Below are 27,530 nucleotides of genomic sequence, written 5' to 3' on the forward strand. Positions count from 1 at the left end.
TATTGGCCAGGCTGGTCTTGAGCTCCTGACCTCAAGTGTCTGCCCGCCTCAGCCTCCCAAAGTGCTGGGATTTATAGGTGTGAGCCACCATGCCCGGCCAACACACTATTTTAAAAGTTACAACCCCAAAAAGGCATAAGGTTTTGTTTTGTTTTGTTGAGACAGGGTCTCGTTCTGTCCCCCAAGCTGGAGTGCAGTGGCATGATCAGGGCTCACTGCAGCCTCTACCTCCTGGCTTCAAGTGATCCTCCCACCTCAGCCTCCCAAAGTGCTGGGATTACAGGCATGAACCACCACACCTAGCCAAAAGGCATAGTTTTGATCTAACTTTCAAATTCTAGGACTATGGTCCCTTGTTTGGAACTCATTGGTCATTCTATCACAGTCCAACTTTTCCACATTGTCAACCTCCCTGCAGCTAATGACAGTTCCTCTTATTATCGTAGTTTTAATTTTGAATTCAGTAATATTTGGACATCTAACTCTCATTATTACTATCACTAACCTGGCTCTGTGACTAACAAAAGACTGTTTCCTTTGTGGGCATCTTTCTGACCTTGTTCCAATATTCACACTACCTTACACTAAACTCTTAATATTCCTTTCAGTTGCACTGATTCATACCTTCTCCTGACTCTTGATCAAGCATAGCCAGTCTCTTCAGTCAATCACTCATTCAAGGAATATTTATTGAGTTCTTTCCAGGTGCATGGCAGTGTACTAGGCAGGGGATAAAGCAGCAAATCAGACATATATTGTCCTTGCCCTCATAGTGAGTAAGAGACATCAATGAATTACATGATTGAATAATTCATTGCAACTGTAATTAAATGCTAAAAGCTGACATACAAGGGGCTGTGGGACCATATAACTGGGAATCTAACCTTGTATTAACAGGCAAGGAGAGCTTCCTTGGGAAAGTAATATTTAAGCTTACACTCCAAGTATAAGTTGGAGTTAACTAATCAAAGGGTGAGGAGAAGAGCAAAGCCAACAGTAGGACCAGCCCATAAAAAAAAGGTCATGAGGAGGCAAGAGAACATGATGAGATCAAACAACTGAGAGAAGGCTGGGGGCTGGAGTGCAGTGACGGAGAGAGAGGCCAGACCCAAATCATACAGGCCTTTATAGGTCATGCTAAGCATTTGGTTTTTATTCCAAGAGTAATGAGAATGATTGCAGGGTTTAAACAAGAATGTGACATCATCAGAATTGTATTTAAATAGCTGACTATGGCTATAGCATGGAAAATGGGCTAAAATGGAACAAGAGGAGTATATTAGTCAGCTATTGCTGCAATAATGCTGTATAACAAACCACCTCAAAATATAGTGGTTTTTTCGTGTTGTTTTTTTTTTGTTTTTTTGTTTTTTTTGCTCAGGAGTCCTCAAATTGCCTGGCTTCAGGCTGTGAGTTGCCTATGACTCTGCTGAGTCGGGATGGGATCAGCAAGGTTTAGCTGCAGACTAGGATTAAATCTGCCTCAAATTTCCTCCTCCTCCTTGGATTAGAGGCTAGCCAGGGTATATTCCTCTTATGATGAATGGTAGAAGAACAAGAGCAATGGCCAGGCACGGTGGCTCATGCCTGTAATCCCAGCACTTTGGGAGGCAGAGGCGGGCGGATCACGAGGTCAGGAGATTGAGACCATCCTGGCTAACACAATGAAACCCCGTCTCTACTAAAAATACAAAAAATTAGCTGGGCGCGGTGGCGGGCGCCTGTACTCCCAGCTACTCGGGAGGCTGAGGCAGGAGAATGGCGTGAACCCGGGAGGCGGAGTTTGCAGTGAGCCGAGATCGCGCCACTGCACTCCAGCCTGGGCGACACAGCGAGACTCCGTCTCAAAAACAAACAAACAAACAAACAAACAAACAGAACAAGAGCAGCAAGCCCAACTGTGGAAGCACATTGGAAGGTCATTGGCCATATCATCTAACAGCCTAGCCCCAAACAGTAGAGCAAGGAAGTATGTTCTACTCCAACAGAGAGAGGTATGAATAAAAGTTTTCTGATTCATACCCCAATATATCAAAGCAGCTATGAGTGAGGCATTTTCCTTTTTTTGTTTTGGAGACAGAGTTCCTCTGTTGCCCAGGCTAGAGTGGCACAATCCCGGCTCACTGCAGCCTCCGCCTCCCAAGTCCAAAGTGATTCTCCTGCCTCAGCCTCCTGAGTAGCTGCGATTACAGGCACCTACTACCATGTCTGGCTAATTCTTTTTTTTTTTTTTTTTTTTTTTTGAGATAGAGTCTCACCCTGTCTTCCATGTTGGAGTGCATGGCACAATCTTGGCTCACTGCAACCTCCGCCTCCCAGGTTCAAGTGATTCTCCTGCCTCAGCCTCCCGAGTAGCTGGGATTACAGGCACGTGCCACCATGCCCGGCTAATTTTTGTATACATATATATTTTTCTTTTTTTTTTTTTTGAGACAAAGTCTCGCTCTGTCGCCAGACTAGAGTGCAGTGGCGCGATCTTGGCTCATTGCAACCTCTGCCTCCGGGGTTCAAGCGCTTCTCCTGCCTCAGCCTCCTGAGTAGCTGGGACTACAGCCACACGCCACCATGCCCAGCTAATTTTTGTATTTTTAGTAGAGACGGGGGTTTCACCATGTTGGCCAGGCTGGTCTTGAACTCCTGACCTCAGGTGATCTGCTCACCTCGGCCTCCAAAAGTGCTGGGATTACAGGCGTAAGCCACCATGCCTGGCCTTTTTTTGTTTTGTTTTTTTGAGACAAGGTCTTGCTATGTTGCCCAGGCTGGTCTGGAACTCCTGGACTCAAGTGATCCTTCTGCCTCATCCTTTCAAGTAGCTGGGATTACAGGGCAAAACCACTGTGCTGGCCTTGGCATTTTCCATTCTGATGGAAACCAAGTAAATGGTAGAGTCTACTGCTTTATTCATCCTAAGCCACTTTGCTTTAGCCCCTAAAAAACCTGCTTTAATTTTCTCGAGGCCTTTAACATATATGGTATAAAATTGGTATATTATCAGCTTTGAGCATTTAAGGAACAGTTTAGTATCCATGAGCCCAATTTTCTCATTGAGTCTCTGGATGCAGTATGCATATGATTTCTCGGTGACCAGAAGCACTTGCTATAACAATAAATGTCACAAGGAGTTTCAGAAACAAATTGTTCCCTTTCTTGCAGTCACTTCTGTGTAAACACAAGATGAAGTTCTTTCTATCAGGGTTGGCTCTACCTGCCCCAAAATGCTCACTCTTCTCTTTTTTTTTTTTTGAAACCAGGTCTCACTCTGTCACCCAGGCTGGAGCACAGTGGCATGACCTCAGCGGACTGCAACCTCAGCCTCCCATGCTCAAGTGATCCTCCCACCTCAGCTTTGTGAGTAGCTGGGATTACAGGCACGCAACCTCCTATAGTCATAGGCGCGTGCCACCACACCCAGCTAATTTCTGTATTTTTTTTGTAGAGATGGGGACTTGCCATGTTGCCCAGGCTGGTCTCAAACTCCCGAGCTCAAGTGATCCAGCCCCCTAGACTTCCCAAAGTGTTGGGATTACAGGCATGAGCCACCGCGCCCAGCCAAGAATGCACTCTCTTCAGCCAATTACTCTGAGGCTACCGATTCTACAGTGGGTTCCAAATGAAAGAAGAGAAAGTCATAGCAGGTACTCAAGTTTATGATGGATGGGTCTGGCATAATGCTTTGTACTCTCATTAATGTTGGGTTTTTGTTTGTTTTTTAGATGGCGTCTCGCTCTGTTGCCCAGGCTGGAGTGCAATGGTGTGATCTTGGCTCACTGCAACCTCCGCCTCCCCAGTTCAACCAATTCTCCTGCCTCAGTTTCCTGAGTAGCTGGGACTACAGGCATGTGCCACCATGCCCAGATAATTTTTGTATTTTTAGTAGAGACGGGGTTTCTTTTTTGGGGTGGGGGGACAGAGTCTTGCTCTGTTGCCAGGCTGGAGTGCAGTGGTGCAATCTCGGCTCACTGCAACCTCCGCCTCCCAGGTTCAAGCGATTCTCCTGCCTCAGCCTCCCAAGTAGCTGGGACTACAGGTGCACACAACCACGCCCAGCTAATTTTTCTATTTTTAGTAGAGTTGGGGTTTCACCATGTTGGCCAGGATGGTCTCGATCTCCTGACCTCGTGATCCACTCGCCTCGGCCTCCCAAAGTGCTGGGATTACAGGCATGAGCCACTGCGCCCGGCTGAGACAGGGTTTCACCTCGTTAGCCAGGATGGTCTCGATCTGTTGACTTCGTGGTCTGCCCACCTCAGCCTCCCAAAGTGCTGGGATTACAGGTGTGACCCACCGTGCCCGGCCTTTTTTTTGTTTTTAATTTGAGACGGTGTCTCGATCTGTTGCCCAGACTGGAGTGCAATGGTGTGATCTCGGCTCACTGCAACCTCTGCATCCCAGGTTGAAGCGATTCTCCTGCCTCAGCTCCCCAAGTAGCTGGGAATACAGGCATGTGCCACTATGTCCAGCTAATTTTTGTATTTTTAGTAGAGACGGGGTTTCACCATGTTGGCCAGGCTGGTCTCAAACTCCTGACCTCAGGTGATCCACCTGCCCCAGACTCCGAAAGTGCTGGGATTACAGGCATTAAGCCACCACACCCGGCCTATACTCTCATTAATTTTTAGATGTAATTTATTATTTGAAGAGAAAAGAAAATCTCTGCATTTCCCAAAAGCGCTTACATCATATTCTTGTGCTGGGCTTTAACTTGGGTTCATCCTTTGCTTCCATTCTTGCAGTTACGCATGTATTCACAGGTCCTGGATCTTTAACAGGAAGCTAATCTTGCTGGGGACATCAATATTTTTGCTGGGGTGTGAGTCTAGCAGGTAGTTCATGTAACTTGGGGGCCGTCCTGGGGAGCGAAAGTGAACTATTTTTAGCTGACTTCAAGTGGAGGCAATTCACTTAAAGAATTCAAAGGCTTTGGCAATATCCTAGATTGACTTTAATGAGTAGCCTGAAATAGCTACAGGCTCCAGGGGGTAGACCGAACCTATTGAGGGCCTCTCCTAGGAGATAAAAAGGCGCTTACATAGCTTGCCTCATAAAGTAGTGTCAGCTTCTTCCCTGCCCCTAGCACAGTGCTCAGCATGGGAGCATTTCTGCTCATCTTATTAATTGGTGGCTAACTATAGACAGAACAGAAAGAGGCACTTATTTCACTAATATGCAGAAGCACGTTCTTAGGAAAGAGAGGAAGGCAGGCTCACAGAGGAGGATGCAGGCAGGCCTCAAACAAGCATCCAGGTGACACTTAGGACATTTTAAAACAGCTTTGAGTAGGCAATTCCCATTTAATTTCTTTTCAGAGTAGGAAACATATAGAAGCAGCATGCTAAAGGGGCTGCAGGGTCTGAAAAGGATAAAGGAACTAGTTTTAATTTGCCTTCCATTTCTGCTGCTAATGACACCCTACTGAGACAGACTATACTATAACACATACATTCCCACCAACTCAATCACATTCTTTCATTAGGATGTCTTGGGCTATTATAAGATCTTTTTAGCACAACTTTTAAGAGAAGGAAATATAACAGAAAAAGTAATTTACCTCACCTCCAGGAAAGGAAAAGACAGGAGTAACAGAATTGTAGGCTTTTTCCCACAGTAGGGACTCCCAGTTAATTTTATGATCTTCATTTCCCATTATTTCAAATAGCAAGACCATGAATACACAGGCTTCCCTTGGTCAACCCAAATACAATGCCTCCATTTTATTTATTTTATTGTTTTTGAGATGGAGTCTTGCCCTGTCACTGAGGTATGATCTTGGCTCACTGCAACCTCCGTCTCCCAGGATCAAGTGATTCTCCCTGCCTCAGCCTCCTGAGTAGCTGGGATTACAGGCACCTGCCACCACGCCCAGCTAATTTTTGTGGTTTCAGTAGAGACAGGGTTTCGCCATGTTGGCCAGGCTGATCTCGAACTCCTGACCTTAGGTGATCAGCCTGCGTCAGCCTCCCAAAGTGCTGGGATCACAGGCATGAGCCACCGCACCTGGCCCAATGCTTCTTTTTTTTTTTTTTTTTTTTTTTTTTTAAGAGATGGGGTCTCACTATAATGCCTAGGCTGGACTAGAACTCTAGGGCTCAAGCAGTCCTTCTGCCTCAGCCTCCCAAGTATAGTATAGAATTTTTGAAATGCATATTTTAAGATTTATGCTTTTCTGCTAGCATTGGGTCAAGAAAAAAAGAGAAAAAAATATTTTAAATATTTTGTGAAGTAGCATTATATTGCTTTTATTTATATTTATATATATTTTTTGAGACAGAGTCTTGCTCTGTCACCCAGGCTGGAGTGTAATGGCACAATCTTGGCTCACTGCGACCTCTGCCTCCCAGGTTCAAGCGATTCTCCCGCCTCAGCCTCCCGAGTAGCCGGGATTACAGGCATGAGCCACCACGCCCGGCTAATTTTTGTATTTTTGTAGAGATGGGGTTTCACCATGTTGGCCAGGCTGGTCTCAAACTGCTGACTTCAGGTGATCCACCCACCTCAGCCTCCCAAAGTGCTGGGATTACAGGTGCCTGCCACCATGCCCAGCTAATTTTTTGTATTTTTAGTAGACCCGGGGTTCCCCCATCTTGGCCAGGCTGGTCTCGAACTCCTGATCTCGTGATCCACCCGCCTCGGCCTCCCAAAGTGCTGGGATTACAGGCATGAGCCACTGTGCCCAGCCAATAGTTGTTTTTCATTGTTGGGTCAACTTAAAACACAACTTTCTCACTGTAAAACAAACCTCTACAGGGATGCCGCTATATATCTAAATGTATTAACAATAAAACACTTAATTGTCTTATTTGGGGAAAAAAAAGGCTCTATCCAATATCCATATTATTTTATTTTATTTATTTATTTATTTTTTTGAGACGGAGTCTTGCTCTGTCACCCAGGCTGGAGTGCAGTGGCGCGATCTCAGCTCACTGCAACCTCCGCCTCCCGGGTTCAAGCGATTCTCCTGCCTCAGCCTCCCAAATAGCTGGGACTACAGGCGCATGCCACCATGCCCAGCTAATTTTTTGTATTTTTACTAGAGATGGGGTTTCACCGTGTTAGCCAGGATAGTCTCCATCTCCTGACCTTGTGATCCGCCCACCTCCACCTCCCAAAGTACTGGGATTATAGGCGTGAACCACCGTGCCCGGCCTAATTTTTGTGTTTTTTTGTAGAGATGGCATTCCGCCACATTGCTCAGGCTGGCTCTGTTTTCAATCTGGCCTGGTTAATGAGTATTGAAGGAATAATGTTGGGGAAAAAACAACAACAACAAAATTAAGCTCCTTTAGTAGTAAAGAATAGCCTCGTGTAATATGACAATTTAGTAGTGACCAAAAAACAGTACCTGACCTGCTACGATGTTTTACAGGAAATAGACAAGGTAGCAGAAACTCTCAAACCAAGTCATAACTGTAACACAGCTCAGCAGGAGGTTTTGCAGGGGGGGCTTCAAAATTCAGTTACAGTCGCCAGAGGCTGAGGCAGAGGATCTGTGGCTGATGTATCATCTTAGAAATAACCCTTACCACCGGGCGCAGTGGCTCACGCCTGTAACCCCAGCACTTTGGGAGGCCGAGGTGGGCAGATCACCTGAGGTCGGGACTTTGAGACCAGCCTGGCCAACATGCAGAAACCCCATCTCTACTAAAAATACAAAAAAAAAAAAAAAAAAATTAGCTGGACATGGTGGCGCATGCCTGTAATCCCAGCTACTCAGGAGGCTGAGGCAGGAGAATTGCTTGAACCCTGCGGCAAGCCGAGATCGGGCCATTGCACTCCAGCCTGGGCAACAAGAACGAAACTCCGTCTCAAAAACAAACAAGCAAACAAACAAAAAACCCTTACCAGCATTATCTTCACTCTAAAAAACAAACACACAGAAAAACTTGATGGCTCTCCTTGACTTCTTTTATAATAAATGATATTTTTGCTGGTTTATTTTTAATTGTATTCAACTGCCTGAGGCTGTAAGCAATAAGCAGTGTGATTTTCTGGTAGAAAAATAACCAAGCATTTAGGAAGCTTCCAGTTGACAGCCTCAGACCTCTCAACTTTGCTGAAGCTCTTCAACAGTATCGACTTTCCATTGTGAACTCTTTTTTTTTGAGACAGAGTCTCCTCTGTCGCCCAGGCTGGAATGCAGTGACAAGATCTTGGCTCACTACAACCTCTGCCTCCCAGGTTCAAGTGATTCTCCTGCCTCAGCCTCCTGAGTAGCTGGGATTACAGGCACACGCCACCACACCTGGATAACTTTTGTATCTTTAGTAGAGACAGGGTTTCACCATATTGGCCAGGCTGGTCTTGAACTCCTGACCTTGTGATCTGCCCACCTTGGCCTACCAAAGTGCTGGGATTACAGGCATGAGCCACCACTCATGCCTTTTTTTTTTTTTTTTTTTTTTTTTGAGATGGAGTCTTGCTCTGTTGCCCAGGCTGGAGTGCAGTTGTGCAATCTCGGCTCACTGCAAGCTCCGCCTCCCGGGTTCACGCCATTCTCCTGCCTCAGCCTCCTGAGTAGCTGGGACTACAGGCGCCCGCCACCACGCCCAGCTAATTTTTTGTATTTTCAGTAGAGACAAGGTTTCACCATGTTAGCCAGGATGGTCTCGATCTTATGATCTGCCCGCCTCCGCCTCCCAAAGTGCTGGGATTACAGGTGTGAGCCACGGCGCCCTGCCGACAGTTTTAATTTACATACTAATGCTGGAAAACATTTTGGAAGGCAAAGAAGAACATTCACTGGTCTTAGCAATAAATAGAATAAAAAAGAAAAACGTGGACAGAAAGGTGGTTGAAAGGCTCTAGGCAAAATGGTCTGGGTTTATTTTTTTCTATAGTAATTTCAGATTATCCATCATTCACTGTAATAAGATACCATTTCAGTGGTGGAGTTGCATAGTCTTTTATTTTTCTAAAGATGACCATTCCATGTTTAATGTCTTCAGAGAAGATCTAAAAATCAAAGTTAACAACCCATTTGTCCCAACTCTAACTCTTCCTGGGAACAATTCCTCATTCTGTTACTTGATTTCTTCCTTTACCACCCACATAAAATATGTCTTACTGCTCACAAGATCAAAAGAAAACAGAACAAAACATTGAAACATCAGAATTGTTTAAAACACTAGATTTCATTCAATGGTCCGATTGGACACTTGCTCATTGGAACTTATTTCTGCTTCAGCTCTAGTTCTTTGAGAAACACAAGAATTCCTTTCACCAAAATATTAGCCTGACACAAGAATGTTGAAAGGTTAGCTGCCTTAGCTTTATTGCTGCCTATAATCTCCAAAGATATCTGAACACCTAGAAGATTAAATGTAGCAAGAAGTGGAAGAGAAACACAGTTTATAAGTCATTTAATAACTATAATTGCATAGAATTTACTCACTTTTCAAATACTTATTCTGAATGAATACCAAATTTGTGAAACAAAATATATCCTATGGTGCTTAGAATGGTTGTTAAATGGTGAGTTAGTTTTCCAAGTAAAAACTTTACGTGCATTAACAGAGGGGAATGCATAATAATCCTATGAGGTAGGCCCTATTATCCTCATTGAATAGAAGAGAAAAGGAGGCTCAAAAAAATTAAGTAACCCACAAAAAGTCACACAGCTGTGACTGTCAGTGTCCTGCTGGGCACTGCAAACTAGGCCACTTTTAAAGTAAGATCATTTTAAATTGAGTACTCTTACTTACAAAATGAACACATTAATGTGATAATTGACAAAATATTTCAGATGCTGGACTTATAGAAAGTTTAAGGAAAACCAAGATTAAGGATTCCAGATTCAGGTAACTCTCTTTATCTTTTTTTTAGACAGGGGTCTCACTTTGTCAGCCAGTACAGTGGCGTGATCTCAGTTCACTGCAACCTCTGCTTCCCAGGTTCAGGTGATCCTCTGACCTCAGCTTCCTGAGTAGCTGGGACCACAAGTGCATGCCATCACGCCTGGCTAATTTTTTTTTTTTTTTTAGAGACAGGGTTTCACCATGTTGGCCAGGCTGGTCTCAAATCCTGAGTTCAGGCGATCCGCCCACCTCTGCCTCCCAGAGTTCTGAGATTACATGCGTGAGCCACTGTGCCAGGCATTAGGTCCCTTTCAAATTCAAGATATTCCTAATTTTTCTGGTCTACTATTGCAGGGTAAGGGAAGAATCTTCTTCCTCTTTTTTTTTTTTTTTTTTTTTTTGAGACCGTGTCTCAGTCTGTCGCCCAGGCTGGAGTGCAGTGGCGCCATCTCGGCTCACCGAAACCTCTGCCTCCCAGGTTCAAGTGATTCTCCTGCCTCAGTCTCCCAAGTAGCTGAGACTACAGGCACCTGCCACTATGCCTGGCTAATTTTTGTAGAGATGGAGTTTCACTGTGTTGGCCAGGCTGGTCTTGAGCTCCTGATCTTGTGATCCGCCCGCCTTGGCCTCCTGAAGTGCTGGGATTACAGGTGTGAGCCACTGTGCCCGACTGGTGGGAAGAATCTTCTATGGCTTAAAAAACAAACGTAGGCTGGGTGTGGTGGCTCAGGCCGGGTATGGTGGCTCATGCCTGTAATCATCCCAGCACTCTGGGAGGTTGAGGCGGGTGGATCACCTAAGGTCAGGAGTTCGAGACCAGCCTGACCAACATGGAGAAACCCCATCTCTACTAAAAACACAAAATTAGCCAGGTGTGGTGGCGCATGCCTTAATCCCAGCTACTCGGGAGGCTGAGGCAGGAGAATCGCTTGAACCTGGGAGGCAGAAGTTGTGGTGAGCCGAGATCACGCCATTGCACTCCAGCCTGGGCAACAGAGTGAAACTCCATCTCAAAAAACAACGACAACAACAACAACACAACAACAAACGCAGCAATTCCATTCCTAGGTGTACACCCAAAAAAATTGAAAACAGGTATTCAAACAAATATTTGTACACAAATGTTCACTGAAGCATTATTCACAATAGCCAAAAGAAGGAAACAACCCAAATCATCAACAGATACCGGATAAACAAAATATGATATCCATACAATGGAATATTATTTAGCCATAAAAAGGAATAAAGTACTGATACATGCTATAATGTTGGTTAAACTTGAAAATATGATGATGTCCCGGTGTGGTAGCTCACACCTATAATCCCAGCACTTTGGGAGGCCGAGGCAGTTGGATCACCTGAGGTCAGCTCAGGACCAGCTGGGCCAACATGGTGAAACCCTGTCTCTATACTAAAGGTACAAAAATTAGCTGGGCGTGGTGGTACACACTAGTAATCCCAGCTACTTGGGAAGCTGAGGCAGGAGAATCTCTTGAACCTGGGAGGCGGAGGTTGAGATTGCGCCATTGCACTCCAGCCTGGGCAATAAGAGTAAAACTCTGTCTCAAAAAAAAAAAAAAAAAGAAAAGAAAATATTATGCTAAGTGAAAGAAGCCAGATACATAAAAAGGTCACATATCATATGATTCCATTTATATGAAATATCCAGAATAGGTAAATCCACAGAGACAGGGTGCAGATTAGTGGCTATTGTTAGCAGTCGGAGGAGAAGGGAATGGGGACTAACTGCTTAATAGGTATAGGGCCTCCTTTGGGGGTGATAAGAATGTTCTGCAACTAGAGAGTAGTGATGGTTGCACACCACTGTAAATGTTCTGCCAACGAATGGTACACTTTAAAATGGTGAATTTTATGATATATGAATTTCACCTCTTTTAAGTTCCAAATAAGGCATCAGTGTAGCGGAGGTCCTCTAATCTGTCTGGTTGGCAAAGCACCTAGTAGTTTACAGTACAGAAGAAGCTTTAAAAATGCTTTTAATTTGTATAAAGTGCAAAGAAAAAGAATATTGAGAAGCACATGAAAGAATATAAAATGGCTAGAGCCTAAAAAATAAGCTAATATACACGCATAGGGACACATCTGCATATTTGAGCATACAGAGACATGTAAATACTCAGGAGAGAAATTTGCTTTTCCTCATAACTTATTTTGTGTTTCTCCAAAACCTGAAGAGTAGATAACAGCTGACAGTTACCCCCCTCTGAGTGTGACAAGAGGTCACGCACAGGGAGGGCCTCTAGCTGCCATTTCCTGTTGCTTCCCTGGTCAAACAACGCAGGCGGCTAAGTCACTTTAGGAAACGCTCAACAGGGCTCCCATTGTTCCAACCTCAAAATTCCGAGATACAACGGGCCCCATTAATACAGACAGCTTACAGGCTGGGGGATGGTCCCTTAGTGTGCAGTCCACTTTTTATTGGGACACTGAATTTTCAAAAACACTGACTTGCACAAATAGTGTTAATTATTTTTTTTAAATGGTACAGAAATAAAATTCAAAAGATACTAAACTGGGAGTCAGGACACCTGAGTCTTACCCTCAGCTCTCTGATGCGACTTTAAGCAAAGTCGCTTGCTCTTTCTGGACCTCAGTTTCCTTGTTTGTAAAAACAGAAATGATTTCTAAGATCACTCAGAATTGTAAAATTCTATGAACACTTATGAAGTCTATTGAGCTTGCGTCACTGTTCACTCCAATGAGTGGGGATAAGTTGTAAGCAGAAAAATATCATTACTTCACATCTTTTCGTTCACTATCAACACTTAAAAACAAACAGCCTTAATAAAAATCAAGTCCACTTTGTTTTCTCTCTTAAACAGACAAATCATAACGAACAGAGTCCAGTGAGTCCCTCTGTCGCAACAAGTTCAGGATCACTCAAGCAGGTAACCGCACACAACGCACAATGATGAAGAGCATAAACACAAGCCATAAGTATATTTTTATGTCGCTTTTTCTTAGGTTATTGATGCATTTCCAGAATCTCTTCATTTCTTTGCAATAACTGAAAACCCCAGAAGAAAGACACCATTTACATTAAGAATGTGATCAATGTTACAAGCTTCTGCACCATGTCATTTTTTTGTTTTTTCAACCTCAAAACTTGCCAGAGCAAGAATTTTGTCTCCAGAGCCTAAGAAAAAAGACACATAATAAACAAAAAGATTATTTCAAGTGCAGTTGCAATTCCTGGTAAAGTGGGAAAAAATCTATCATATAGATATTAAAACAGAAAATATAATTAGCCTCCATTATCAGTGTATTAACCCCTACACGTTCCCATTGCCATCCCAATTTCCTTCCCTCTGCACAAACAATCCAGCTACAAAGGGGGACTTATTAGTTATAAATCCTTATTCTAGCTATGAAATATAATATGTAAAATTTAATTTATTTATTTATTTATTTTTTTGAGATGGAGTTTCGCTCTTGTCGCCCAGGCTGGAGTGCAGTGGTGCGATCTCGGCTCACTGCAACTTCCACCTCCTGGGTTCAAGCAATTATCCTTGCCTCAGCCTCCCTAGTAGCTGGGATTACAGGCACGTGCCACCATGCCCAGCCAATTTTTGTGTTTTTGGTAGAGAGGGTTTCACCCTGTTGGCCGGGCTGGTCTCGAACTCCTGACCTCAGGTGATCCACCCACTTCAGCCTCCCAAAGTGCTGGGATTACAGGCTTGAGCCACCGCACCTGGCCATAAAATTTATTTTAAAACATTTCTGTGAAAAAAAAAAATAAAGAAAGAAGAAATATTTTTTGCGGGGAGACAGGTCTTGCTCTGTCACCCAGGCTGGAGTACAATGGCATGATCTTGGCTCACTGCAGCCTCAAATATCTGGGTTCAAGTGATCCTCCTGCCTCAGCTTCTCAAGTAGCTAGAACTGTAAGTGCATGCCACCACACCTAGCTAATTTTTTTTCTTTTTAATTTTGTTTATTTATTCATTTATTTATTTATTTGAGATGAGTCTCGCTCTGTCGCCCAGGCTGGTGTGCAGTGGCACAATCTCGGCTCACTGCAAGCTCCGCCTCCTGGGTTCACACCATTCTCCTGCCTCAGCCTCCCAAGTAGCTGGGACTACAGGTGCCCACCACCACACCCAGCTAATTTTTTGTGTTTTTCGTAGAGACAGGGTTTCACTGTATTAGCCAGGATGGTCTCGATCTCCTGACCTCGTGATCTGCCCGCCTCGGCCTCACAAAGTGCTGGGATTACAGGTGTGAGCCACCGCACCCGGCCTTGGCCTCCCGCTTTTTAATTTTGAAGACAAAGGGTCTCACCATGTTGCCCAGGCTGGTCTAGAACTCCTGGCCTCAAGCATATAATTTTAGTTTTCTGTTATAGTTACGTCTACCTGACAAGTATTTTAAAAACATTAGGCTGCATTAATTTATTTTTAATATTGGGGAATAAAACCAATACAATGGATTTATAAAGAAAACAATTCTGGTTTCACTCTTAAACTCAAGGAAAGGTTATTATGTTATTTCAACCACACTCTCCATCAGTTTGTATGTAATATATGACAGTAGTATACGACCAGCTTTCAGAAATATGAGGGCACTCACCAAGGTCTGTAGAGACTTTCTCAAACTGGCTGAGTATAGCACCTGCATTTGCTGACAAGAAGGCCTCATCATCTGCAGTCAGCTAAACAAAATGAAACAAAGTCCAGTTGAGTGGGTAAATGTTACAGGTGGTTCTAGAAACCAGGTAAGAATGTCTTAGGAGGCTGGGCACCGTGGCTCACGCCTGTAATCCCTGCACTTTGGGAGGCGTGGGGGGGGGGGGGGGGTGGATCACATGAGGTCAGCAGTTTGAGACCAGCCTGGCCAACATGATGAAACCCCATTTCTATTAAAAATACAAAAAATCAGCTGGGCGTGGTGGTGCACGCCTGTAATCCCAGCTACTCAGGAGGATGAGGCAGTAGAATTGCTTGAACCTGGGAGGCAGAGGTTGCAGTGGGCTGAGATCGACCCACTGCACTCCAGCCTGGACAGCAAGGGCAAAACTCCGTCTCAAAAAAAAAAAAAAAAGGTAGAGGGGAGGGCCGGGTGCGGTGGCTCACACCTGCAATCCCAGCTCTTTGGGAGGCCGATGTAATCCCAACACTTTGGGAGGCTGTGGCGGGCGGATCACCTGAGGTCAGGAGTTCAAGACCAGCCTGGCCAACATGGTGAAACCCCATCTCTACTAAAAATACAAAAATTAGCCAGGCGTAGTGGTGGGCACCTGTAATCCCAGCTACTCAGGAGGCTGAGGCAGGAGAATTGCTTGAACCCAGGAGGGGGAGGTTGCAGTGAGCTGAGATCGCACCATTGCACTCCAGCCTGGGCAACAAGAGCGGAACTCCGTCTCAGAAAAAAAAAAAAAAAAAAAAGAATGTCTTAGTACCACAAACTAGACCACAGATCAAGATGTTCTGTACCAAATAATTCATACTTTTTCTTTGTAACTAATATATTAAATACTGGTACCTTCTCTCCAAGTTTCCTAAGAGCTGTTAGTATCTCCACTTTCTGTTGAGTGTACAGGTCTCTTTCCAGCTTTCCTACCATCAGATCTCTATCCATCTAAAACGTATGAATGCAAGGCATATGTTACTTAAGTGAAAAACATTCCATATACAAAATATAGCTTTTCAGGCCAGGCGCAGTGGCTCACGCCTATAATCTCAACACTTTGGGCGGATCACGAGGCGGGCGGATCACGAGGTCAGGAGACCAAGACCATCCTGGCTAACACGGTGAAACCCCGTCTCTACTAAAAATACAAAAAAAGTAGCCAGGCATGGTGGCAGGCGCCTGTAGTCCCAGCTACTCAGGAGGCTGAGGCCGGAGAATGGTGTGAACCCGGGAGGTGGAGCTTGCAGTGAGCCGAGATAGCGCCACTGCACTCCAGCCTGGGTGACAGAGCAAGACTCCACCACAAAAAAAAAAAAAAAAAAAAAAAAAAAAAATATATATATATATATATACACATACATATAGCTTTTCAGACGTACTTCTTAAAAAAAAATCCTCTAGCTGATTAATATTATAAAGAACTACAGATATAATCCAAGGCAAATATGATAGAAATGTTAAATGCAGTTCTAGTAAATCATCTAGTAAAATATCACCTCTTCCACCAGAAACACTAATAGCATGTACCACACATTGGGAATATTCAAAGTACTTTTACACATATTACTTCATTTAATCCTCATAAGAACCATAAGAGGTAAGGACTATCTTTGTCATGTTTTTACAGACAGAGAAACCTAGGCACAAAGGGGATGAATAAAATAAGTTGTCCAGGCCAGGTACAGTGGCTCATGCCTGTAATCCCACCACTTTGGAAGGCTGAGGTGGGTGGATTGCTTGAGCTCAGGAGTTCAAGACTATCCTGGCCAACATGGTGAAACCCTGTCTCTATGAAAAATACAAAAATTAGTGGGGTGTGGTGGTGTTGTGCCTGTGGGCCCAGATACTTGAGGGGCTGAGATGGGAGACGCTTGAGCCCAGGAGACAGAGGCTACAGTGAGCCGAGATTGCATTACTACACTGAGCCTGGGTGACAAAGTAAGACCCTGCCTCAAAAACAACAACAACAACAAAAAAACAAAAAACAAACAAAAGGCTAGGCGCAGTGGCTCCCATCTATAATCCCAACACTTTGGGAGGCTGAGGCGGGCAGATCACTTGAGGTTAGGAGTTCAAGACCAGCCTTGACAACATGGTAAACCCCATTTCTACTAAAAATACAAAAATTAGCCAGGCGTGGTGGCATGTGCCTGCTGTAGTCCCAGCTACTCAGGAGGCTGAGGCAAGAGAATCACTTGAACCCAGAGGCAGAGGTTGTACTGAACCGAGATTGCGCCACTGCCCTCCAGCCTGGGCAACAGAACAAGACCCCATCTCAAAAAAAAAAAAAAACATAAAAAACTTGTCACATACCTCAGTAGTGAAGCAGGAATTCAAATCCAGCCAGTCTGACCAAAGTCCATGCTCTGAATCACTATGCTACTGAATTGCCCATACTTACAAATAATTTGGTAACTCTTAATTACATCCAAGCCTATAAACAGACTTCTGGAAGTATCAGGTTTACAAAGATACTTGAAATTCTTAGATGAGATAGGCTACACATGCATACAAGCAATGCTGCTAATTAATTCTCAATGTGATTTTAAGTTAGAGCTCCAGAAGTAAATGGTAAAACATTAAAGGTGGAGTCCAGGTAGAAGTGGTCAGTGGCAATTTAAACTGCCGTATATTGTTTAAAGCTCTACATTCATTATCAACTATAATTGCTCAAAGTACTAATTTTGTCAGAAAATTGTTAGTTGTGGCTCTAAAATCACCTGGCAAATTTTTAAGCCATAGGATATCATAATGAATTGGCCTAGGAAATGAAAAACACACAGCAACCAAATCAATTTAAAGAAATTTTACCTCTGCTAACCTTGTCCGAAGCTGACCTGGTTGTTTCTTTGCAAACAATCTGATGACCTCTGGGGTTTTAAAGGCCTGGCTGATAGCTGCCTGAATAGCCTAGAAACACAAGAAGGCAAAAACTAACCAAAATAGTCCAACAAATCAGATATTGCAATAACTGATTGACGGATCCTTAATTTTTATCAAGGTTTACTGGTTCCTGTCATGGAAGCAATTACACAACTAAATGAAGATCTGGAAGGATATGTTGTGTATGCATAAACAGACACTCATCTAGAAGTTACACCTTGGGAGGCCAAGGCAGGAGGATTGCTTGAGCCCATGAGTTTGAGACCAGCCTTGGAAATGTAGCAAGACCCCATCTCTAAAAAAAAAAAACTAAAGGCCAGGCACAGTGGCTCACGCTTGTAATCCCAGCACTTTGGGAGGCCGAGGCAGACAGATACCTGAGGTTGGGAGTTCAAGACCAGCCTGACCAACATGGAGAAACCCCGTCTCTACTAAAAATACAAAATTAGCTGGGTATGGTGGCACATGCCTGTAATCCCAGCTCCTCAGGAGGCTGAGTAAGGAGAATCGCTTGAACCTGGGAGGCGGAGGTTGCAGTGAGCCAAGACTGCCCCACTGCACTCCAGCCTGGGCGACAGAGTAAGAATGCATCTCAAACAAAAACAAGAACAAACAAAAAAACAAAGTCTGTCCTCTGTCGCCTATATGTTATACTTACCAGCTGCATTCCACTTAGTTCATCTACCAAAGTCATATTTCCAGACATAATTTTCTTTAGTGAATCATTAAATTCACTTAGTTGCTCCAGAGTTTCCTTTTTGGTTTCTTCATATTCATCTGTATCAAGTTCCTCTCTGAAATAGGTGAACATCATGATATGGAAAAATGAAGAGTTCCAAGTGAAAAATGCAATCTTAATACTTGTACATTAGAGAAAGACTGAAGGGAAATATCAAAATGCTGATGGTGAATGTGTTCACATAGTAGTAGTGAGGGCATTTTCCTGCAATATAGTTACTTTGGTAAACATTTTTCTTTTACCAAAATGAGGATACTTAAGAAACCACATAATAAAGCAGGGTGCCGTAGCTCACACCTGTAATCCCAGCACTTTGGAAGGCTGAGATGGGCAGATCACCTGAGGTCAGGAGTTCGAGGCCAGCCTAGCCAACATGGTAAAACCCCGTCTCTACTAAAAATACAAAATTAGCCGGGCATGGTGGTGCATGCCTGTAATCCCAGCTACTCGGGAGGCTGAGGCAGGAGAATCGCTTGAACTTGGGAAGCAGAAGTTGCAGTGGGCTGAGATCTCGCCACTGCACTCCAGCCTGGGCAATACAGCAAGACTCTGTCTCAAAAAAAAAAAAAAAAGCTGCAATGAACTGTTGTGGTCCTTTGTGCAGGTAAGGCTGAAACTACATGCCAGAAGTTCAAGTAGTACCTTCTTAGCCTGACAGCAGGTAGGACTGATTTAAATACTAAAGACAAAGTAGGTGTTATTTCTACTTCAAGGAAGGTAAGTATTTTGCTCAAGTTCACATGCACTTAGTAGTTAACTGAATGACTTTCATTTCCCAGCCTTTATGACTCCAAAGCCTGCAATAAGTTTACTTCTCTAATAGACAAAGCACTGCAAAGAACACTACAGGGGAATGCAGAATCATCACACATGGGCCTGCATCCACGGAGCTAGCTGCAGAAAAAACGCCAGTTTCCAGCATAACAACATACAATTAAACTCTTACCTGCATTCCTCCAGATCTTGTAATTGTTGCATGAGTCTATCCAACTGTTCTTCTAAATTCTGCTTTAATTTGCTTGTCTCTGTCTTTCCTCTGGAAGCCATTTTAATCTCTATGTGAAACAATAAACCCACATACCATATGAAATTAACATACCAGTGCAATTTTTTTAAGTTTTATTTTTTGTAGAGACAGAGTCTCACTATGTTGCCCAGGCTGGTCTCGGAACATCTGGCCTAAAGTGACCCTCCCATCTTGGACTACCAAAGAGGTGGGATTATAGGCATAAGCCACCACACCCAGTCCCTAGTGCAATTAAAAATATGCAGCTGCGGCCAGGCGCCGGTGGCTCAGGCCTGTAATCCCAGCACTTTGGGAGGCCGAGGCGGGTGGATCACAAGGTCAGGAGATCAAGACCATCCTGGCTAACATGGTGAAACCCCATCTCTACTAAAAATACAAAAAAGGCCGGATGTGGTGGCTCACGCCTGTAACCCCAGCACTTTTGGAAGCCGAGGTGGGTGGATCACCTGAGGTCAGGAGTTCAAGACCAGCCTGAGCAACATGGGGGAAACCCCATCTCTAAAGAGAAAAAAAGGCCAGGCACGGTGCTCACGCCTGTAATCCCAGCACTTTGGGAGGCTGAGGTGGGCGGATCATGAAGTCAGGAGATTGAGACCATCCCGGCTAACACGGTGAAACCCCGTCTCTCCTAAAAATATAAAAAATTAGGCAGGCGTGGTGGCAGGCGCCTGTAGTCCCAGCTACTTGGGAGGCTGAGGCAGGAGAATGGTGTGAACGCGGGAGGCAGAGCTTGCAGTGAGCCGAGATCACGCCACTGCACTCCTGCCTGGGCGACAGAGCAAGACTCAGGCTCAAAAAAAAAAAAAGAAAAAAAAATTACCTGTAGTCCCAGCTATTTGGGAGGCTGAGGCAGCAGGCTTGCTTGAACCTGGGAGGCAGAGGTTGCAGTGAGCTGAGATCACGCCACTGCACTCCAGCTTGGGCAACAGAGTGAGACTACATTTCAGAAAAAAAAAAAGGCAGCTGGGTGCAGTGGCTCACGCATGTCTGTAATCTCAACACTTTGGGAGCCTGAGGTGGGAGGATTGCTTGAGCCCAGGAGTTCGAGACCAGCCTGGCCAATATAGTGAGACTTCATCTCTACAAAGAATAGACAATCTTAGCTAGGCATGGTGGCGGATGCCTCTAGTCCCACCTACTCAGGAGGCTTAGGTGAGAGGACTGCTTGAGCCCAGGAATTTGAGGTTGCAGTGAGCCATGATCTTGCCACTCCACTCTGGCCTGGTTGACAGAGCGAGACCCTGACTCAAAAAAAAAAAAAAAAAAAAAAAAGCTACAGGTATATGAAAGATAGTTAAACAAAGAAAATCTTAATTTAGATATAAAAGTTTAAACTCATATAGTAATAACACCCCACAAAAATACCTGAAAGTCCTCTTTATGTGACTTGACATATTAATTAGAAGTCTTCATTATTGGTCTATCTTACTCTAAACAAATTTGGTAAATGGAAATATATATATATATGTAGATCAAATGTGACTTTGCTTTATAAAATGAATCATTATAGCCCCAAACACTCCAGATATTATCTTATTGGTCTTATGTATATTGACCTAATTACTTGTGAGCATGAACTTTTTTTTGAGATAGGGTCTCACTCTGTTGCCTAGGCTGAAGCACAGTGGCACAATCATAGCTCACTATAGCCTCAACCTCTCGAGCTCAAGCCATCTTCCCACCTCTGCCTCCTGAGTAGCTGCAAACACAGGCACACACCACCACACCTGGCTAATTTATTTTTTTGTAGAGATGGGGTCTCCCATGTTGCCCAAGCTGGTCTTGAACTGGGCTCAAGAGATCCTCCCACCTCAGCCTCCCAAAATGCTGGGATTATAGGTGTAAGCCCACAAGCCCAGCTGATGAACATCTTTTAATATGAATTTCTTCTTTGGAAATGTGACCATCTTTCTGCTGGGTTATCTTTCTCTTACTGATTTATAACATGGATACAAAGCCTTTGGCTTTTTTGAGACAGGGTCTTGCTCTGTCACCCAGGCTGGAGTGCAGTGGCATGATCATGGCTCATGCAGCTTTGACCTCCTAAGATCAAGCAATGAAGCCTTTGTAATTGCAAATATTATTTCGTCTCCTGACTAAATTTTATGTTTTTTTGTCATGGCAAATTATTATTTTTTAATAGACAAATCTATCTTCTCCTTTAAATCTTCTTCGTTTTGTGACCCATGAAGGCAGGCCCTAACCATCTCAAGATTTATACATCTTTATATTCAAGACTTTTACAAATTTTTGTTTTCTAGCTGCAGACAAAAGCCACCTGCAACATTTTTTGTTATGCTTTGAAGTAGGGGTCTAACTTTCCTTTCAAAAACACCCTTTACTAATCAGTCTTTTATTTATTGATCCAGGAGAATTTGGTCTACAATAAAGGTGGCATATTGATTAATAAATAAAAGACTGACTAGTAAAGGGTATTAGGGCAATTGGCTAGTCATTGATAATTTTCTGTTCCTAAGGAATCACTTCTTTTTTTTTTAGACTGAGTCTTGCTCTGTCGCCCCGACTGGAGTGCGGTGGCACGATTTCGGCTCACTGCAACCTCCACCTCCTGGGTTTCAGCAATTCTCCTGCCTCAGCCTCTTGAGTGCGTGCCACCACGTCCGGCTAATTTTTGTATTTTTAGTAGAAATGTGGTTTTGCCATATTGGCCAGGTCGGTCTTGAACTCCTGACCTCAAATGATCCACTCACCCCAGCCTCCCAAAGTGCTAGGATTACAGGCATGAGGCACCCCACTTGGCTTTTTTTTTTTTCTTTTTTTTTTGACACAGAGTATCGCTCTGTCACCCAGGCTGGAGTGCAGTAGGCTGGAGTGCAGTGATGTGATCTCAGCTCACTGCAACCTCCACATCCTGGGCTCAAGTGATTCTCCTGCCTCAGCCTCCTGAGTAGCTAGGATTACAGGTGTGCCACCACATCTGCCTTTTTTTTTTTTTTTTTTTTTGGTATTTTTAGTAGAGACAGTGTTTCGCCATGTTGGCCTTGGCCTCCTAAAATGCTGGGATTACAGGCATGAGCCACTGTGTCCAGCCCTCAGGCAACATTTCTTGCTATTTACATTATTATGGCTTTATCACTGATATATCTCGATAACTGATAATGACTTGCCTTTATTGTTTTCTCCTCCCCAAAATTCTTGGCTCTTCTTGTGCACTTTCTCTTCCAGATGAATTTAACAATCAGTATGTCAAGTTTCATTAAATATCCTATTGACTGGGGCCAGGCATGGTGTCTCACACCTGTAATCCCAGCACTTTAGGAGGCTAAGGCAGGCAGATCACTTGAGACCAGGAGTTACAGACCAGCCTGGCCGACACGGCGAAACCCCGTCTCTACAATAAATTAAAATATTAGCTGGGCATGGTGGTGTGTGCTTGTAGTCCCAGCTACTTGGCGGGCTGAGGTGGGAGAATCATCCAAGCCTTGGAGGCAGAGGTTGCAGTGAGCTGAGATTGTGACACTGCACTCCAGCCTGGGAGACAGAGTGAGACTCCTACTCAAAAAAAAACAAAAAACAAAAAACAAACCACAAAACTTTCCAGGTAACTTATTAAAACATGTTTTTTGTTTGTTTTGAGACAGAGTCTTGCTCTGTCGCCCAGGCTGGAGTGCAGTGGAGCAATCTCAGCTCACTGCAAGCTCCGCCTCCCGGGTTCACACCATTCTCCTGCCTCAGCCTCCCGAGTAGCTAGGACTATAGGCACCCGCCACCACGCCCAGCTTATTTTTTTTGTATTTTTTAGTAGAGACGGGGTTTCATCGTGTTAGCCAGGATGGTCTCGATCTCCTGACCTCGTGATCCGCCCACCTCAGCCTCCCAAAGTGCTGGGATTACAGGCGTGAGCCACTGCACCCGGCCTAGTTTTTGTATATTTTTTTTAGTAGAGACAGGGTTTCACCATGTTAGCCAGGATGGTCTCAATCTCCTGACCTCGTGATCCGCCCGCCTCGGCCTCCCAAAGTGCTGGGGTTACAGGCGTGAGCCACCGCACACAGCATTAAAGCATGTTTTATTTTCCTACACATAATGAAATCATTACCAGATGATTTGACATGTGTACTTCATTGGAGAGGATTCTTACAGTATATTCAAAATTAAATATAATGACAAAAAATTACTACCTAATCTATTAAAATTGGCATAAGTCATCTATGATCATTAATGATATGCAAACATAAACAAGTATTATACCCAGAAGTGTAATTTATTGTAGCTACATCTTATGTATAATAGTTTAGTGGATTTTTCCTGGAAATTGTCCATTTTAATTTTTCTCTTAAGTCTGTGGAATTTTCCAGTAAAAGTCAAGGCAAACCCAAGATGTAACTGACAATGTCTTTTCAGAGTTAGTTTCCTACAGTCTAACCACACTGGATGACTTGCTGTTCCAAAAATGTCATGCACTTTTTTGAGCCTGCATTTTTTTTTCTACCTATGAAGCCCAGTTCATTCTTCAAAGTCTAGTTCAAGTGTCACCTTCTCTACAAGGTCTTCCTTGATTTCCTCCCAATCACTAGGTTGTGAATTATTTAAGTAGGGATTTTACCTTTTCTTTCTTTCGTTCGTTCGTTCTTTCTTTCCTCTTTCTTTTTTTTTTGATGGCGTCTCACGGTCACCCAGGTGGAGTGCAGTGGCATGATCTTGGTTCACTGCAACCTCTGCCTCCTGGGTTCAAGTGACTCTCCTGCCTCGGTCTCCCGAGTAGCTGGGAATGTAGGTGCCCGCCACCACGCTCAGCTGATTTTTGTACTTTTAGTAGAGATGAGGTTTCACCATGTTGGCCAGGCTGGTCTCAAACTCCTGACCTCAGGTGATCCGCCTGCCTCAGCCTCCCAAAATGCTGGGATTACAGGTGTAAGCTATCGTGCCTAGCCTTTACCTTTTTTTTTTTTTTTTTTGAGATGGAGTCTCACTCTGTCGCCAGGCTGGAGTGCAGTGGCACGATCTCGGCTCACTGCAACCTCCGCTTCCCAGGTTGAAGAGATTCTCCTGCCTCGGCCTCCCAAGTAGCTGGGATTACAGGCACGCACTACCACGCCCAGCTAATTTTTGTATTTTTAGGAGAGACGGGTTTCACCATATTGGCCAGGATGGTCTCGATCTCTTGCCCTCGTGATCTGCCTGCCTCGGCCTCCCAAAGTGCTGGGATTACAGGCGTGAGCCACCGCACCCGGCCTTTACCTTTTCTTTATACACCAGCATCCAGCACAATCTTGGACAGACAAAAAGTGCCGAATAAACAACTGGTAGATGAATAATGAGAATTGATTGCTTCTTCTTTAGCATTCAAATCTTTTTTTTTAAAATTTTTTTTGAGACGGAGTCTCGCTCTGTCGTCCAGGATGGAGTGCAGTGGCGCGATCTCGGCTCACTGCAACCTCAGCCTCCTGGGTTCAAGCAATTCTCCTGCCTCAGCCTCTCCAGTAGCTGGGACTACAGGCATGCGTCACCACATCTGGCTAATTTTTGTATTTTTAGTAGAGATGGGGTTTCACCATGTTGTCCAGGCGAGTCTTGAACTCCTGACCTCTGGTGATCCACTTGCCTCAGTCTCCCAAAGTGATGGGATTACAGGCGTGAGTCACCGCGCCCAGCTCAAATCTTATTCTCTATTTAGCACTTATTTCTGCCTTTAATTATATATGATTTTATTATAATACGTTATCTCCTCTGACTAAACTCTGGAGAACAGAATATGAGTCTGATTCCTCTCTCAGCTTTCTCAGTACCTAATACAGAATAGAACGTCGATAATTTGGTCACGTATATAAAGGCTCAACATATTTTAAGGAGCTAAAGCTATTCTGAATACATTTCAGTAAAAATGGGTGCATTTTAAAAGCCTTAACCTGGTACTACATTAGTTGAGATTTATCCCCGAAAGATTAACTCGTTGGCACCACCTAGTAGTCACTAAATGTGGTGCACTTTTCACTTTTACGAAACTACAGAAACCGCTCTCAGACACTATATCTGGAGCGGAGGGTCCTCATTCATGCTCACCTGTCTCTTAGTACTCTGATCTCTGCACAGTGCCGACCGGTCTCAAATTGCACAAACCTCCAGTTCTTGACGTTCCGAGTGTCATAAACTTGAGGAAAATGAAATTATTCATCAGGACTACAAAAGGCTCAAAGTTCAAACCACCTCGGGGTGGAGATGCTGGAAAAAAGGAAACCATTAACAAGTAATTTTATTTGCTATATATAAACTTGCCCTAAGGCAGTCCAGATAACTTCCACTTGAGCAGCCTGAGACATCAAGGGCGGGGGCACTTTCCCCCTCGACTGCGCCTACCGCAGCCTTTCTGAGTTTCTTCCTAGCGAGGCCGAGAGGGTCTTTGAGGAAAATCCCGCATCCGGACACGCCTTGAGGGATGGCGTCAAACCCAGAGGCTTGGAAAAGGTAAGGGCGGAGAGCACGCCTCTTCCTTGAAAGTGAGGAGGGTTTGGCCCAGAACCAACAGGACTGGGTGAAGAATCAGCTCCGGCCACCGCAGCAAATCCCACCCCACGCGGGAACTTGAAGTCCGGCACGTAGGTCCCGCGGCGGCCGGGCTCCAACAGGCCCCAATTGCCACCAGAGGTAGCCGTAAACCCATGGTCCCCGAAACTCCTTCCGGGCCTACCTGACAAAAACTGGGACAACCTCCTTAGGCCCCCGGGATTCCCCCTGTGCCGCCTGACCGCCCGCCAGTCCCAGAGTTTAGGGCCAGGGGCCCCGCCTACCTGAGGGCACTGGCCTGGCGGACCGCGCCGGGGGAGCACTTCCGCTGGACGCACGCACTTCCGGCCCCCTGGAACCAATGAGAGTGCGACCGAGATGTTCCACTCGCTGGCGTCCGGGCCGCTGGTGATCTCCGGTAGCACTCGGGCCGGCGGACAGTGAGGGCGCGGTAAGCTCCCCGCAAGGAGCCCCTGAGAAACTGGTCGCTTTTTGTCCTAGATATAGGGGAGTCCAGGATGGTGTGGTGGAGTCTTTAGAGTCGAATATGACCCGAGGCAAGCTCATATTCAGGTTTGGGGCAAGGAGCTTTGATTGACCCTTAATTTTTTCAGTGGAACGGAAAACTTCGGTAAAATAGCTTCTGACCTTCGGAACAGATGGATTCACCTTGGAAAGGAAAAATCTCTTTCTAGAAGAGTCTTGAGGTCTGGCACCTTTAGGCTTAACGGGGGACGGCTGGGCGTCAGAGGAGGAAATCCTTCATTCCGAACGACTTCCCTTTCCTCCTAAATCCTTCTTTCCAAATCTGTAAAAGACTACATCTACTTTGCTGGAGGTGGTTTGACACTCATGCTCCTTGAGAAGGAGGTAATGAGCTGTAGGGCAGCTCTTAAAAAGTTACCCTTGGACGGGCGCGGTGGCTCACGCCTGTAATCCCAGCACTTTGGGAGGCCGAGGCAGGCGGATCACGAGGTCAGGAGTTCGAGACCAGCCTGGCCAACATAGTGAAACCCCGTCTCTACTAAAAATACAAAAAATTAGCTGGGCGTGGTGGTGGGCGCCTGTAATCTCAGCTACTCGGGAGGCTGAGGCAGGAGAATCGCTTGAATCCTGGAGGCGGAGGTTACAGTGAGCCGAGATCGCGCCATTGCACTCCAGCCGGGGCGACAGTTCGAGACTCCATCTCAAAAATAAAAATAAAAAAAAGTTACCCTTGGCTGTCGCGGTGTGACACCTGTAAACCCAGCACTTTGAGAGCCCGCGGTGGGAGGATCATTTGAGCCCAGGCTGGGCAACATAGCAAGACCCTCATAACAAAAAATTAAAAATAAAATTACCCAGAAACTGGTTGGAACTATTTAATGATGTTCTTAGTCCATCTTCCTGAAGTAGTCCACAGAACAACATCAGTGTTCATGGTAGAATTGTTTCATCAGGGCAGTTTTTTTTTAAGTAACAATGTCTTGTTAAAAAACAAGAGCTGTGTTGCCCAGGCTGGAGTGCAGTGGTGTGATCATAGCTCACTGCAGCCTTGAACTCCTGGGCTCAAGCGATCCTCTGGCCTTGGCCCCTCAAAGTGTTGTGGTGATTGGCACAAGCCACCGACAGGCCTGGAGTCTGAAGTTAGTTATATTTCAGCTACCCAGGATAAACTTCTAACTATGATTACCACAGAACTCTACCAAAACTAATTGTTTCACTTAGTTCTGTCTGATTATGGAATCTCTTTATTACCATCAGTTGTTTTTCAGAGTTACAATTTGAATATGAAACCATTTTTCTAGCCCACCTTAGAGAAGACTGTTGACACACTAGTTGAAATGGTTGCAATAGCCTCTACCTTGCAAGACACTTCAGATTCAAAGAATTTCCTTTGCAAAAGTCGGCCGGGTGCAGTGGCTCATGCCTGTAATCCCAGCACTTTGGGAGGCCAAGGCGGGCAGATCACTTAAGGTCAGGAATTCAAAACCAG

The 27,530-nt window shown here is 44.7% G+C and overlaps 2 protein-coding genes across 16 annotated transcripts in view, besides 8 other annotated features; one reads left to right on the forward strand and one right to left on the reverse strand.

The window, feature by feature from the left end:
* Positions 1–4,608: 4,608 nt before the first annotated feature.
* On the reverse strand, positions 4,609–25,882 carry LZIC (leucine zipper and CTNNBIP1 domain containing). 8 transcript variants are annotated; one of them, NM_001316975.2, is made up of 8 exons: positions 25,840–25,882; positions 25,115–25,273; positions 19,010–19,118; positions 17,983–18,118; positions 17,253–17,351; positions 15,294–15,389; positions 14,382–14,463; positions 4,609–4,849 (listed from the first exon to the last, which is right to left on the reverse strand). In NM_001316975.2, the coding sequence occupies exons 3-8, from the start codon at positions 19,108–19,110 to the stop codon at positions 4,746–4,748; spliced, it is 618 nt and encodes a 205-aa protein (NP_001303904.1). In that variant the 5' UTR covers positions 19,111–19,118; positions 25,115–25,273; positions 25,840–25,882; the 3' UTR covers positions 4,609–4,745. The 8 variants fall into 8 exon arrangements, with proteins under 8 accessions (NP_001303904.1, XP_005263563.1, NP_001303903.1 ...); XM_005263506.3 differs by having other exon boundaries at positions 25,740–25,882; NM_001316974.2 differs by lacking the exon at positions 4,609–4,849 and adding an exon at positions 8,784–12,948 and having other exon boundaries at positions 25,172–25,273.
* Positions 10,305–10,814: an enhancer, noted in NCBI's record as "H3K27ac-H3K4me1 hESC enhancer chr1:9987872-9988381 (GRCh37/hg19 assembly coordinates)". NCBI's record gives its function as "activates a minimal SCP1, AML or CMV promoter by ChIP-STARR-seq in naive H9 embryonic stem cells {active_cell/tissue: H9 hESC(naive)}" and the evidence as "EXISTENCE:reporter gene assay evidence [ECO:0000049][PMID:30033119]".
* Positions 13,304–13,803: an enhancer, noted in NCBI's record as "H3K27ac hESC enhancer chr1:9990871-9991370 (GRCh37/hg19 assembly coordinates)". NCBI's record gives its function as "activates a minimal SCP1, AML or CMV promoter by ChIP-STARR-seq in naive H9 embryonic stem cells {active_cell/tissue: H9 hESC(naive)}" and the evidence as "EXISTENCE:reporter gene assay evidence [ECO:0000049][PMID:30033119]".
* Positions 21,315–21,815: an enhancer, noted in NCBI's record as "H3K27ac hESC enhancer chr1:9998882-9999382 (GRCh37/hg19 assembly coordinates)". NCBI's record gives its function as "activates a minimal SCP1, AML or CMV promoter by ChIP-STARR-seq in naive H9 embryonic stem cells {active_cell/tissue: H9 hESC(naive)}" and the evidence as "EXISTENCE:reporter gene assay evidence [ECO:0000049][PMID:30033119]".
* Positions 21,816–22,316: an enhancer, noted in NCBI's record as "H3K27ac hESC enhancer chr1:9999383-9999883 (GRCh37/hg19 assembly coordinates)". NCBI's record gives its function as "activates a minimal SCP1, AML or CMV promoter by ChIP-STARR-seq in naive H9 embryonic stem cells {active_cell/tissue: H9 hESC(naive)}" and the evidence as "EXISTENCE:reporter gene assay evidence [ECO:0000049][PMID:30033119]".
* Positions 24,911–25,481: an enhancer, noted in NCBI's record as "H3K27ac hESC enhancer chr1:10002478-10003048 (GRCh37/hg19 assembly coordinates)". NCBI's record gives its function as "activates a minimal SCP1, AML or CMV promoter by ChIP-STARR-seq in primed H9 embryonic stem cells {active_cell/tissue: H9 hESC(primed)}" and the evidence as "EXISTENCE:reporter gene assay evidence [ECO:0000049][PMID:30033119]".
* Positions 24,911–26,214: a biological region, named in NCBI's record as "BRD4-independent group 4 enhancer GRCh37_chr1:10002582-10003781".
* Positions 25,015–26,214: an enhancer, noted in NCBI's record as "BRD4-independent group 4 enhancer chr1:10002582-10003781 (GRCh37/hg19 assembly coordinates)". NCBI's record gives its function as "activates an origin of replication core promoter dependent on BRD2, P300/CBP, MED14 and CDK7 cofactors, and independent of BRD4, by STARR-seq in HCT116 cells {active_cell/tissue: HCT116}" and the evidence as "EXISTENCE:reporter gene assay evidence [ECO:0000049][PMID:35650434]".
* The window catches only part of NMNAT1 (nicotinamide nucleotide adenylyltransferase 1), a 53,970-nt gene continuing 51,853 nt past the window's right edge, over positions 25,414–27,530 (forward strand). For 4 of the 8 annotated variants that reach the window (XM_017002108.3, NM_022787.4, XM_011541971.2 and 1 more), the window contains exon 1: positions 25,966–26,006. The gene's annotated coding sequence lies outside the window, so the exon portion shown is untranslated. Of the gene's footprint in view, positions 25,517–25,965; positions 26,263–27,530 lie in introns of those variants that run through there. The other 4 variants (NM_001297778.1, XM_047428077.1, XM_017002107.3 and 1 more) reach the window with 2 other exon arrangements.
* Positions 25,482–26,051: an enhancer, noted in NCBI's record as "H3K27ac hESC enhancer chr1:10003049-10003618 (GRCh37/hg19 assembly coordinates)". NCBI's record gives its function as "activates a minimal SCP1, AML or CMV promoter by ChIP-STARR-seq in primed H9 embryonic stem cells {active_cell/tissue: H9 hESC(primed)}" and the evidence as "EXISTENCE:reporter gene assay evidence [ECO:0000049][PMID:30033119]".

This window comes from Homo sapiens, chromosome 1, assembly GCF_000001405.40.
Source record: "Homo sapiens chromosome 1, GRCh38.p14 Primary Assembly".
NCBI classification, from domain to species: domain Eukaryota; kingdom Metazoa; phylum Chordata; class Mammalia; order Primates; family Hominidae; genus Homo; species Homo sapiens.

What these genes read in the sequence shown, in the direction of transcription:
- LZIC (NM_001316974.2), bottom strand. Translation starts at nt 25,226, where the DNA reads ATGAATAATTTCATTTTCCTCAAGTTTATGACACTCGGAACGTCAAGA. An exon ending in TTCGGACAAGGTTAGCAGAG is followed by an intron (nt 15,390 to 17,252) that starts GTAAAATTTCTT and finishes CATACGTTTTAG; the next exon opens with ATGGATAGAGATCTGATGGT. An exon ending in TTAGGAAACTTGGAGAGAAG is followed by an intron (nt 14,464 to 15,293) that starts GTACCAGTATTT and finishes CATTTTGTTTAG; the next exon opens with CTGACTGCAGATGATGAGGC.